At 38.4% G+C, this 14141-nt stretch overlaps 1 protein-coding gene across 3 annotated transcripts in view; it reads right to left on the reverse strand.

Annotated features, from left to right (window-relative positions):
* ESF1 (ESF1 nucleolar pre-rRNA processing protein) overlaps positions 1 to 14141 on the reverse strand; it is a 70595-nt gene that overhangs the window by 8620 nt on the left and 47834 nt on the right. For all 3 annotated transcript variants that reach the window (NM_001276380.2, NM_016649.4, XM_017027874.3), the window contains exons 10-11: positions 10777 to 10898; positions 5434 to 5521 (exon numbers count right to left, since the gene is read on the reverse strand). In NM_001276380.2, the coding sequence (NP_001263309.1) occupies positions 5434 to 5521; positions 10777 to 10898 (210 nt within the window). The remainder of the gene's footprint in view (positions 1 to 5433; positions 5522 to 10776; positions 10899 to 14141) is intronic.

Genomic DNA, 14141 nt, shown 5'->3' on the forward strand with positions numbered 1-14141 from the left:
GACTCCGAGTCAGATATTAGAGTTTTACAGTTAAATAAATCTAACCAATCCTTACTGAGGCTAGAATCCTTTTAGGCAAAAAATGTAACAGAATACATCCATGGAAAAAGATAGTGTGTAAAAATAAAATTCATCTGTAAAGGAAATTTCATTTCCCATTACTTATAATGTCAGAGACTTGTTCCCATAATAAACTTCCTCCAGAGGGTTTAGTTGAGCAATTCATATGAGAGAAGCTAAGAAAGTTCACTGGAGGGCAGATGGATGTGGTCTCAGTACTGACCAGATGGGAGTGGTAAGCGCCCTAGTGATTTACTCTTTTGTACCAAGTTCCTGCATCACTTGCCCATAATCAGATGCAGTCTGTTAAGGATAATCTCCCTCTAGGGTTAATCTCCCTCTAGGCTACCACATTCTGGTGCTGCTTTACAATGTTGTAAAATTACAAAAAATAAAGGGAAGCCCACTAGGACTCAGATTCTACCAGCTACCACTGGAAAATTAGCAGATTTTTCTAATATTTCATTTCATTTTCAGCTCATTAATGTGCTCATCCTAGATGATATTTTTAAAACTCTCATTTGACACCAAGTTTGCAATTTAGAAGGAAATCAAAGAAAAAATTATAAAAGATAGAAGAAAAAATTATAAAAGATCTCTAACATTCACCCTGGCACCTAATCTGAGCCAAACGCCAGGTCTGGCATCAATGAACTCATTTCCTCCACATTTTGAAGGCACATAAGTTTAGCTCTATGGGATTGCCTAGAGCAAAAATGTTATAAATGTACCCAAGTCATCTGGTTTACAATGTTTTTGTCCTGTTTAACTACAGAACTTGAACTGTACACTGAAAACACTAGTGTGCCAAATTCATTATATCTTAAATATTTTTGAAAAGCAAGGTCTATATCCTTAGATAATGACTATATTTTACTTCCACCAGGTACTAAAATCTAAAATTATTTTGACAAACTAATAATGAAGGCAACACTGTAGTAATAAATTAATATACCAATGTAGGTCATCTGAGTTATTTTATTTCTACATTTTAAAAATTACAAACTGGCTGGGTGTGGTGGCTCACGCCTGTAATCCCAGCACTTCTGGGAGGCCGAGGCGCGCGGATCACCTGAAGTCAGGAGTTCAAGACCAGCCTGGCCAACATGGTGAAACCCTGTCTCTACTAAAAATACAAAAATTAGCTGGGCACAGTGGCACACACCTGTAGTCCCAGCTACTTGGGAGGCTGAGGCAGGAGAATCGCTTGAACCCAGGAGGCAGAGGCTGTGGTGAGCAGATACTACGCCACTGCACTCCAGCCTGGGCGACACAGTGAGACTCCGTCTCAAAAAAATAAATAAATAAAATAAAAATAAAATAAAAATTACAAACTGGTAAATTTTGAACCAAAGTCCAACTCTCTTTAAGAGTACCTACTACAGATCCTTATATCTGGAAGGCACACAAAAAACTTCCAACTTCTTCCTGACTCCCTATGGGAATCCATTTCCCTGAGGTTATAAGCATGCTTCCACCTATCCTTAAAACCATCCTCCTGGATCATGAGTACAAAATGTTAACATTCAATATATTCTTCCTTATGTCTTCTGGATACTGTTAAGCACAAATTTAGTTTTTGCTGGGGAGGAAAAGGTTCAGAATTGAGTAAAAACTTCTCATTAAATCCATCTATTTGAGCATATACATGATATATATCTAACACATATTTTAAAAGTCCAGTTATACCATAGGAAGTCAGATTAAAATGTAAAGTATGGGAAAACTGTATCATTCTCATATATTTAAATATTTTGTAACATGCTGAAAGTCATATGGGAGGACTGGGTGATTCTGACACTCAATAATTGTTGACTGAATAACCACGTACATGAATGGGGGCACACAGCTTTGTAATGTGCCTTTGAAAAGCCATGTCCAGCATGATTTAAAAGGGACATGCTCCTTTTGTGGCTCAGCTGGTTCTCTCTTTCTCTGCCTAGGCCTCCCATACCGCTGCTCTTGCCACATGTTCTATGGTTTTGTATCTGGCCTGGCCTTCAAATTTATACGCCCCATCTTTCTCCATTTTCAGCCATCCAGACCTGAACACTCTCCTTAAAATTGACAATTAATTGAATCAACCGCCTTAGGCAGTAACCTCCTGCACCCTGCCCCCTCCAGTGACCTGTTTCTACGTCCCTACCCTATCTGCTCATGCAGATTATCTGTGCTTCTGCAAGTGAATGAACAAACAGTATAAATCCATAAACCAATCAGGTAAATCCCTCATCCTTCTGCCACCAAATATACAAATTTATCTGCATTTGTATTTACTTTTATTTCCCCCATTTTCTGTATCTTAGTAACTTCTTTTCTGTTGGAACAATCCCAAGGGAAAGAAAACATGCCCTAAAAGCTCATATCTTTAAAAAAATACCTTCTCCTTACCTACATTCAGGTACTGCTCCACGTCTTTGCTCCCCTTCACAGTGAAACTTCTGAAAAAAGATCTACATTCTTGGTCTCTACTTCCTTACCTTTCACCTCAAACTTTAACCCACACTAATCTACTGAAACCTCTACCACCTCACCAAGTGTCTGTGAGCCACTACATTAATACTGTTCCTCCTATTTCCCAGCCGCCGCTTCTCAGCTTCTTAAGCTTTTCCCATCCTTTCAGGTAGCACTTCCTCCAGTATGACAGATTAACAGTGCCTCATGTGGACTTCACCTGACCTTAGGGCCCATCCTGCATCCTCTTCTCTTATCACTGCTCTCTACTCGCACTGCCATGGTTTGAAGTACTATTTACATGCTACTGATCCTTAACTCTATATTTGTACTCTGATTTCTCTGCTCATCTCTCAGACTTATATCTCAATATCAACCAAACACCTCCATTTGTATATCTAATTGACATCTCAAAGTGATTATACCACAAATGGACGTATTTACTTTGCTTCCCACTCAAACTTATTGTTTCCACATTTCTTCCTCAGTAAATGGAAGAACATTCTTCCATAGACTCAAACCAAAAACAGAAGTTATGCTAAATTTCTTCCTGATTTAGCAAGTATACTTCCAAAGTATATCTAGAGTTCCATTCTCTTCTCCATCCAATTCCACGAGCGGCATGCCAGGTAAACAACCATTATCTTTGGTCTAGAGCTCGGCAAAAGTCTGGTCTTCCAGCCCTCACCAGTCCTCAAACTGTTCTCTTCACAGGCACCAGAGTAATATGTTAATCTATACCAGATTATGTCTCATCTTTGCTTAAAGACTGTTTGGGCTTTCCACTATCAGTAAAGTAAAATCTAAATTTGTTGTCAGGACAACAAAGCCCTACAGGGGTAGTTTCCACTGAGTCTCCAGCCTGTCCTCATACCAATTCCCTCTCCGACAATGCTCCAGCCACACTGATGTCTTTCAATTCTTAACACCACACAGTGCATTCTCACCTTGGAGTCTTTCTACCCACTCTCCCCTCATTTGCAATGCTCTTCCCCCAGCTCTTCATGCCTGACTCCTCATTCCACAGGTCTCAGCTCTAATGCCATCATCTCAGAGAAGCCTTCTTTGCCTACCCAATGTAAACTCCCATATCTCCTACTTCTATCCAGTTATATCTTCTATTTCTTTCCTTGAAAACATTTACCATACCCTCATACTATTTATCTGTCTAACATGTCTTTCTTTAAACCAGACTCCATGAGGGATGCAATCCTGTTTGTATTATCACTACTGTATCTCTAGCCTAGCAGAGAGCTCAGCACCTGGTAGGCAATCAAAACAGTTATTACAGAATGAATAAACAAACATGGCAAGACACTAGCTTTTTGTCCTAAATTTTATGTAAAAAATTCTGGCCTTGCTGTTTTGCTTTTTCAAAACAAAACAAAACAAAACAAAACAAAACAAAACCCACTGCAAAACACACACACAAAAACAGAAAAGCCCAGATAGAAACAATTACCCTCTGGGAACACTCTGAAATCAAAAGTAAATTATAAGCAAGCAAATTTTATCTATACCTTTTTTCTTTGGAACTTCTGATAATAACTTTACAGAAAGCTTACTCTCAATTTAAATGTGTTGATTCCAAAAAACTGGCTACCCCAAGCCATCAAACCATTTAACTTATTCTTTGAATCCTATTCTGAGTTCTGCAATTTGACCAGACTTCACATGCCAAAGGAAACATTTTGGATAGAGAACAAGGAAACTATAATGCTTAGCATTTCTCCATTATAAAGTTGGTTTCCTGAAACCAGAGGATAAGGCTAAAATCCATCATCTTCTAGAAATGACCACTCAGGTATGATAAAAAGCAGAATATGCTAAGTTTCCACTTCTCTGTCCAATTCCCAAGAATCTCACATTCTATAATAGACTTTATTTATCTTAATCTCCTTCTCATCAATAAAATGTCAGTACTAAAAAGCTGTAACAATCAGGAAGTAATTTTGAGCAATTCTGACTTTCCTGTTGAGAACTATTCTGGCCCACTAGTCACAAGGGAAAAAAACAGGGAAACTTCATAAACTCCTTCTCTTTACAATGCCAGCGTGGAGTTGCTCCAGGAGCAAGCCTTTTGGGGTTCTTGTGTGTGGTATAATGATCGGGGAAGGCAAAATGCATGAGAACAAATGGTAAATCCTTACAGTGATTTCTGTACTGACTTACCAAGTATGGCCTGAACCTTACCAAACACATTTACACATACGCATTTCCTCCACATAATGGAGGAAAGAAAGAATGAGTAGTGCATATGAGGTGGAAACAAGGCTCCCTGGATATAGGAAATCAGATACCAGATAATTTAGGGATTCAAGGAAAAAGAGGAGTAAGGAAAGCTGGCTTTCTAGCTATAATTAAGCATAATGAGTACAAAAGGGATAAAATGAAACATAGATGCTTTTGTATGTTTCAGCAGAAAAAGCTTTTATATGAAATTTCATGCATAAATTTAAAAAAATTATACACATATCAACATGCACATAAAAACAAATTTGTTTCATACTTTTAATTCTTGATAGACTTTGCTGAGAGGGACCTAGAATGGATACGCTATTAAAAATCAGTGAAAGTACACAAGAAAATATTTATTCCTCTTTCTATTTCCTCTCATTCTTTTATAGAGTCGATCTGACTGGCACTAAGGATATTTCCCAGAAAGGAATCCCCAGTAAACTATTAACCACATTATCAAAAGTCTCCTATATTAAAATTATCCCTTGTATGTAGAAGGGACAAGTTGACCCTTCCCAATCAGATTAATGACTGTATGCCACAGGACAGACTTGCTTATGTCACTAAGGGAGCTACACAAATACTAGCAATTTTAAAAGAATGATTAGTTTATATTGCTTCCATGTACCTCACCTTTTTCTTTAGATTCCAGTTGAAAACTACAGATATGAGCTGGCTTACCTATTTGTTTAACTTCTTCAGCAAAGTATGGGTCATTCAAATCAACATCAGAGGGAAGTTCCTCTTCACTGGCCTCTTCAGCAAGAGCCTTAAAAGTTGAATATAAAAATACAAAATTTCATTATTACAAGAATTATAATAAATGTATACCAAGAAAAACTATGCATTTCTTTTAAACCAAGTAGTTCAATCTAAAAGTAAATCAGTGGCCAAGCGTGGTGGCTCACGCCTGTAATCTGAGCACTTTGGGAGGCCAAGGCGGGTGGATCACGAGGTCAGGAGTTTGAGACCAGCCTGGCCAACACAGTGAAACCCCATTTCTTCTAAAAATACAAAAAAATTCGCTGGGCATGGTGGTGCATGCCTGTAGTCCCAGCTCCTCGTGAGGCTGAGGCAGGAGAATCACTTGAACCCAGGAGGAAGAGGTTGTGGTGAGCCGAGATCGTGCCACTGCACTCCAGCCTGAGCAACAGAGCGAGACTCCATCTCAAAAAAAAAAATAATTAAAAGAAAAAAAAAGTAAACCAGTTTTTAAATGGACCAGTTTATAAAACAACTCCCACCTAAGTTATTCTGTTTGTTCAACAAATAATTATAGAGGCTGGGTGCAGTGACTCATGTCTGTAATCCCAGCACTTTGAGAAGCTGAGGTGAGCAGATCACTTGAGATCAGGAGTTTGAGACCAGCCTGGCCAACAGGGTGAAACCCCATCTCTACTAAAAATACAAAAGTTAGCCAGGCATGGTGGTGGGCACCTCTAATCCCAGCTACTTGGCAGGCGAGGCAGGAGAATCGCTTGAACCCAGGAGACGGAGGTTGCAGTGAGCCAAGATGGCGCAACTGCACTCCAGTCTGGCGACAGAGCGAGACTCCGTCTCAAAACAAACAAACAAACAAAAAATATAGAATACTTAATAAATGCAGGAAACCATGTAGGCCTTTTGGGAGAAATGGAAGTTATCAGATACATGGTTTCTGCCCTCAAAAATTTTACCATCTATTAAAGGAAATCAGACACATAAACACATAAATAGACAAATACATAAATAAAAATAATTCAAGATAGGAAGGGTTAGGAGGGACAAAGTGATGCAGACATTTGAAGGAGAAGATCTGAAGGAGAAGAATACTTTTAGATGGGTGATCAGTGATGGGAGGTGGCATTTTCTCTCATAAAACTGAAAAATGATAGTGACTGAATTACTTGAAGTAGTGCACTGTGAATTATCTCTTAAATTATTAGTTACAACAATTTATTTGTTGGTTAAAGAAAAGAATTTTTATTATGAAAATCTAAAACATACACAAAAGTAGGACAATGTAATGAACCCTCTGTTCTCATCGCCCAATTTTAACAATTATCTTGTTTTATCTATAAGCCACCCCTAAAAACTGTCAGGCTATTTTTAAGTAAGTCTGTTGGTTAAATTTTTCCTAATCTAATTTGAACAGACTTTTTACTAAATTAGCAAATTTAAATAAAGCAATCAAATCTATACAATAAATAGAACACATGTGAACTAAGATCAGGCTAACCAGACTGAATTTATCTCTAGCAATCTAAAACATCTCAAGTCATTTAAACAAAAATATTTAGAATGCCATTATTGTTAAACATCCTGCATGCAAAAAGAATCACTAAAGCCCTAAAGAATATTTATTTTGACATTAATGTCCTTTTAAGAACAAGTGCTTCTGGCTTTTTTTTTTGAGACAAGAGTTTTGCTCTTGTTGCCCAGGCTGGCTTGCAGTGGCGTGACCTCAGTTCACTGCAACCTCTGACTCCCAGGTTCAAGCGATTCGCCTACCTCAGCCTCCCAAGTAGCTGGGATTACAGGCGCCTGCCACCACACCTGGCTAATTTTTTGTATTTTTAGTAGAGATGGGGTTTCACCATGTTGGGCAGGCTGGTCTTGAACTCCTAACTTTAGGTGATCCGCCTGCCTCAGCCTCCCAAAGTGCTGGGATTACAGGCGTGAACCAACACGCCTGGCCAAGAACAAGTGCTTTTTTTTTTTTTTTTGAGACGGAGTCTCACTCTGTTGCCCAGGCTGGAGTGCAATGGCACGATCTCGGCTCACTGCACGCTCCACCTCCCGGATTCATGCCATTCTCCTGTCTCAGCCTCCCAAGTAGCTGGGACCACAGGTGCCCGCCACCACGCCCAGCTAATTTTTTTGTATTTTCAGTAGAGACGGGGTTTCACTGTGTTAGCCAGGATGGTCTTGATCTCCTGACCTTGTGATCCGCCCGCCTCGGCCTCCCAAAGTACTGGGTTTACAAGCATGAGCCACCGCACCCAGCCAGAACAAGCGCTTCTAAGAATTTTTTTTTTTTTTTACCAAACTATTTTATGGATTCAGCAGTAACATACTTTTAACAAAGAATATTTGCTATGTACCTACTCAACACATTTCTTTAACTGCTTTATAGATCTCAACAACAGCTAGATCAAAATACTAGATAACACGGCATATATCAGGTATTCATTTCTTCAGTAATAATTTTTCAGTATCAAAATTGAAACCACTGAGGAACAAATGGGCAAAAATATTTTTAACTTGAAGAAAATTCTTGAAACTCTTCTATATACAAAGAACCTGTGGAGTTGGAAAGGATCTGTTGGAGTCAAGGCCGGTACTGAGTACTGTAGGGTCTAGAACACCCTGGACACTCAACAATGTATTTTGAATGCTGCTGACCAACGAGTCCAGACTTAGCCCAAATGAATGGAAAAAGTAAAAGCACAAACTCGAAGCTCCCAGCAAATGAAAATCAAACTGAATAGCTGCTACAATTCTCAGAATGACTACTTTATTGACCCCATGAGGGCCCACTTGAGACATCTCCAATAAACTGATAGCTTAACACTTGTGGAGTTATTTCATTTATAAGATATTTTACTCACTTTGGGAGGCCGAGGCGGGAGGATCATGAGGTCAGGAGATTGAGACTATCCTGGCTAACATGGTGAAACCCCGCCTCTACTAAAAATACAACAAAATTAGCCGGGTGTGGTGGCGGGCGCCTGTAGTCCCAGCTACTCGGGAGGCTGAGGCAGGAGAATGGTGTGAACCCGGGAGGTGGAGCTTGCAGTGAGCCGAGATCAGGCCACTGGACTCCAGCCTGGGCGACAGAGCGAGACTCGGTCTCAAAAAAAAAAAAAAAAAAAAAAAGATATTTTACTGCCTACTGAGTTTGAAAAGGAGTTCTAGGGAAGAAGAGAGTTAGTTAGCACATCAATGGGAGCAGGGCTCTTACCCCACGTGGTGTTACATATATATTATTTTCATACATGGTTTCTGGCTCATAAGTTCCTTAGCCCTTGCTATAGTCTTTTGTGTTCGGTCTTAAGGGCAGGACTGTACTCTTCCCTCACCTTTCTAATTGTGCATCTTAAGACCTTCCCCAGAGAGGGTCCTGCCCTGTAGTTGTGGGGAAGGAATGCTGGCATCATGAAGCTTCCATAAAAACCCGAGAAACGAGTTCACAGAGCTTCTGGATAGCTGGACACATGGAGGTTCCTGGAGGGTGGAGCGCCCAGGGAGGCATGGAAGCTCCACAGCCCTTCCCCCATACCTTACCCTATTTCCTCTGTATCCTTTGTAATATCCTTTATGATAAACCAGCAAATGTGTGTAAATGTTTCCCTAAGGTCTGTGGCCACTCCAGCAAATTAATTGAACCTAAAGAGGGGGTCGTGGGAACCCCAACTTGAAGCCAGTCAATCAGAAGTTCTGGATGTCCAGACTTCAGACTGGTGTCTGAAAGGGTGGAGGCAGTCTTGGGGACCGAGCCCCCAATCTATGGGATCTGACACTATCTCCAGGTAGTGTTGGAATTGGAGGTCACCCAGCCGGTGTCCACTGGTTAGTGTGTGGAGAAAACTCCCTACCCATTTGGTCACAGAAGTCTTCTTCTGTGTTGATAGTTGTAGTGTGACAGCAGAGGAAAAACAAAGTCAGAAAGAGTTTTTCCCAAAACACCCAATTTCTCCATTTTACTATCCATTTCCACAAACACTGACTACAATAGAAGTATAAAAATTACTCCACTGCATCATTCAGCTTTGCATCTCTCTACCCGTCACAGCACTAAAAGTCAAAGCTATACCAAAAGCATTATAAGAACACACAGTATAGAAACAGTATAGTGGGGAACAGAAGAAAGAACACTGGTCTGAGTAACTGTGGATTCTGGTCTCAGCTTGGCCACTGGTATGCTATGTAACCTCAGACTAATCAGCTAATTTTTTTTACAACTATAAAACAGGGCTGGACTAGAATTAATAATTTTAAGATTCCCCAAGCTGCAAAATTTTGTCATTATCAGTAATAACGCTCTAAGGCACACCACTTCCAGAATGCTGCATTTCAGTCACAAGAGCACTTTTAGTGGCAAAAACCTAAGTGATCTGTACTATTACTGAGGACTCTGGAAAACTCTGGAAAAGATGCTATTCCCTGAACAACATGAGTCAAATCATATTGTCCACAGAAACCACATTAACACAGAGGAAATACTCTTATTTATTTATTTATTTATTTATTTATTTATTTATTTATTGAGACAGAGTCTTGCCCTGTCGCCCAGGCTGGAGTGCAGTGGCACGATCTTGACTCACTGTACCTCTGCCTCCTGGGTTCAAGCGATTCTCCTAATTCAGCCTCCCAAGTAGCTGGGATTACAGGTGCGCGCCACCACATCCACCTAATTTTTGCATTTTTAGTAGAGGCAGGGTTTCGCCATGTTGGCCAAGCTGGTCTTGAATTCCTGACCTCAGGTGATCCACCTGCCTTGGCCTCCCAAAGTGCACGGATTACAGGCATAAGCCACCACACCCAGCCAGGAAATACTCTTGATAAAGGAATTTAATGACAATAAGGTGACAGATGAGCCATAAGATAATACTGTAAGGTGAAAATGCAGGTTGACAGATGGAAAGTATGGCATAATTTCACTCATGTTAAAAACCTCTATGTGCATATATCCTCAAGGAAAAATGTCTGTATGTACCTCTTTTGCTCAGAAACACAGAACAGAATCATACTGCTTATATCTAGATATTAACTATGTGTTTTACGTAGGTGGCATGTAAATGTAAAATGTCAGAATGCAGCAGTTGAAGTGGCTCTGGACTGTGACCAGGCTTTGTACACCATTATGTGGCCATGATGAAAAAACTTTCTGCATTCTCACTTTCCTCTTTCTTAAAATTGGGATGATAACAAGGCCTACTTCAGTGAGTGGTTACATTTTGAGATAATGGATTCCAAGCACCTGGTACCATCTGATATATGGTTGGTATTCAACAAACATTTGGTCATAATTATCAATGATACCTTCTGTTTCCTTTTCAGTCTTTTTTTCTCTTTCTTCTTCTCTAAAAATTGTTCCCAAGGGGTCAGTTTATCCTTTCCTTCCAATTTGTTTTTGACCATCTCTTCTGCACTTTCTTTAAGACCTGAGGAAAAATCCAAATAGTTTAGCTTAAAATGTCTTATTGTCTGGCAATCACTTAAACATATAATTTATAAAGACAAATATAATTTATGCATATTTAATAGAGTAACAAAGATAACATGCAATGGTAAATATCTGTAATACCCCAATATCATACAGTGACATAGGACCAACTTCTATAAAAGTTATTTCCTAATAACAAACAACAATAACCTAACCAAACAAAATCAAAACAAACCAACAAACAAACCTAGCAACTTGATACATGGTCAAGCCACTAAAGAAAAATACTGTATTTAGGCTCAGCCTTCATTTCTCTAAACTTTTCTGTTTTGAGATGCTAAGAAAACTTCTGAACTAATTCTTCTCAGGATACTAATTAATTTTTGTAGCAAAAGACAAGTGGCTTTTCTTGTCTTTAATTATCCCCACTTGCTTCTGTCATCCAAGTGAAAGCCTATGTTCTCTGCAAACTACAGGTTTTGAACAAAAATTGTTTAGTAAGGAATCCCTGTTGAAATATCCCATGAGCAAAGGATTCTCAATCTTTTCTCAAGCATTCTGTGAGGCCTCATAGAAAAGATCAGAAGGACCACCAAGTTCAGATTCCATTTCATCATATGGTTTAGCTCTTTCAATGCTGCTATTTGCTCTTATATTTCATCTCAAAAGGTCTTTCTTCCTATAGTCTGCTGTTCCCGATTCACGTTTCTAGGTATCTTATGCAATAACTAGAGGGGGTAACAAGGTGGGAGAAAAAGCCCTAAGGCTGATCTATCCATTTACAAAGACCCTCATTATTGCCAAAGTAAAGGAAATGTAAATACTGTGCTGTCCCCTTTGATAATAAAGATGTTTTTTATTTTGTAGTAGTGTTTAGAGGACATAGTTGGGTGGATCTTTAAATATTTAGATGACACAAAATTCATTAAAAAAAGAGACATCATCAAACCAGATCATCTTCTCAGATACATTCTAAATTCTAAGAAAGTAGAAACGATACTAAATACAGTTCTCTTTTGTTGATGAGTATATACAGACTGAGAACATTTAGCAATTTGTCTAAGAACATGGAGGTAGGAAGCTGCACAGCTAAATTTTGAATTCCTGGTCATCCTCTCTTCTATTATCAGATACATCTAAAATGCTAGTTTGACCTACAGAATGAAGAAATATATGGCCCAAGAATAAAATCTAAAACTTTGGGCCTCTGGTTCCTTATCTGCAAAATGAATGGTTTAGATCAGAAGTATGCAACCCTTTCCTCCCACGTGCACTGATTTCCCCCCCTCAAAACATTTGGTAAAAGTAAAAATATATAAAACAACTAAAAACACTGCTTTTGGGCCTTGAGCTTCAACCAACAGTTTGAAACAGCTGAAACAGATCTCTAAGACCTTCCTTGGTTTTTAACCCAAGAATTAATCTCCAAATTTCTATAGCTTAGAAAAGTATTAATGTTAACCTATATGCACACTCAAGGTAACACAGATTTGTTTTTATGACATACTGCTGTTAGGATCTCTAACTTACAGGATGCCAAATCAGAACACAATTCTCAATTCAAAAATGTTTCTTATGAGAAAAACATAATTCATTTAGTAAACAGTTTTCAGGAGAAATGTGTAATATAAAACCATGTTTAGATCTCTGATTCAACAGATAAACAGCACCTAAGAAATGTAAACTGGGATGTTCATTTGAGAGAAAGCAGCAAATTCTGATAAAACAAGTTGATTTCAAAGAACAAAATAATTTATGTATTCTGCCCATAGGTCAGCACACAATCAGTTCAGTCTAAAATTTTAAATGTACAGTGTTGTATTATTACATGATGTTTAAATAATACTCTTTGAAGTATTCTACTATAATTTCCTCATGCATTAAGATTGTATTACTTCAAAATACTAAACTAATATAGAAATTTTTTCACCAAAAAAGTTATTTTCTGATTTTGATCCAAGCTCTACTTCTGAATCACCATGATGCTAAGGAGGGTTCTATGTTGTTGTCTCTTAGGTGACTAGAGGACTGGGTTGATGTGTCTCAACCTTTTTTGGAGGGATGGATAGCATGAGATTTTGATAAAAGTTATGGACTCTAACACTGTACTGGAAAAACTTGCATCCAATGTTCAGGAGGTTTATGACTATCCAAAGATCATCTCTGTGTAATGATCCAAGAGCTTAAGGTAAAGAACATTTATAGGAGCTGAAGAGGTCTAGCCTGGGGGAAGATGAAAGTCCATTCCTGTAACTTTGAAGCTTAACAGCATTGACATTTGTAGGTTCTACATCAGGTTTTCTCAATTTCAGTATTATTGTTATTTTGGACCAGATAATTCTTTGTTGTGACGGGCTATCCTGTGCACTGGAAGTTATTCAGCAATATCTCTGGTTATCCACTAGATGCTAGTAACTCCAGGTGTAATAATAAAAAATGTCTCCAGACATTGCCAAATATCCTCTTGGGGGGCAAAATTACCTCTAGCTAAGAATCACTGTTCTAGACAATCATTAAAAATCATTTCTAAAAAAAAGGGCTATGTCAATATTTGAACCACATAAGTGATGGTATTTTACTTGGTGCTTGATTATATGTCTTCCCAATTTATAAGTTTCATCTGAGCAGTCCTTTCTTCTAACTAGACCAAAAGCAGCTTAAAGTCACCTTCTTTAGTATTTCATAATATTTAGCATAGTGCCAGACACATAGTAAATACTTAATAAACACTTAATTGATCTGTCTTAAAGGAGGGATTCTTATTTCAAGCCATCTGTTTGATCTTTCATGTTTGGAACATATTCTCTCTAACAGAAAATGAATCAAAACTTTAGGATCGAAATAAATGGCCTTGATCCTCAAGTGGTTCATGTGGTTAAAAACAAAAAAGAAAAGGACCTATAACTCTAAAATAATTCGTGAAATGTTTATTCTTAGGAAATAATATTTTTCTGGTACTTTGTTTACAACAATAAAGAAACAGTATCTTCAGTTTAATACAGTCTGTAATTTTTTTTTGCCTGGCTCTCACTTAATACACCCAAATAGCAGCATAAGAAACACATTGCAATGAATTCACACACCACCATGATAACTTAAAAAATGCTTTGTTCTTGTTGTCATCATGAGGTCATTTAAATCTCTTGCCACAGATCACAGCTGTTTATGTTCTAAGTTCTTAAAAATATGCCCATCCCAGAAGCCTCTTGGCATAAGTACGAGAACATTCTTCAGAGACAGT

The sequence above is a fragment of the Homo sapiens genome, chromosome 20, assembly GCF_000001405.40.
Source record: "Homo sapiens chromosome 20, GRCh38.p14 Primary Assembly".
Classification (NCBI taxonomy): Eukaryota; Metazoa; Chordata; class Mammalia; order Primates; family Hominidae; genus Homo; species Homo sapiens.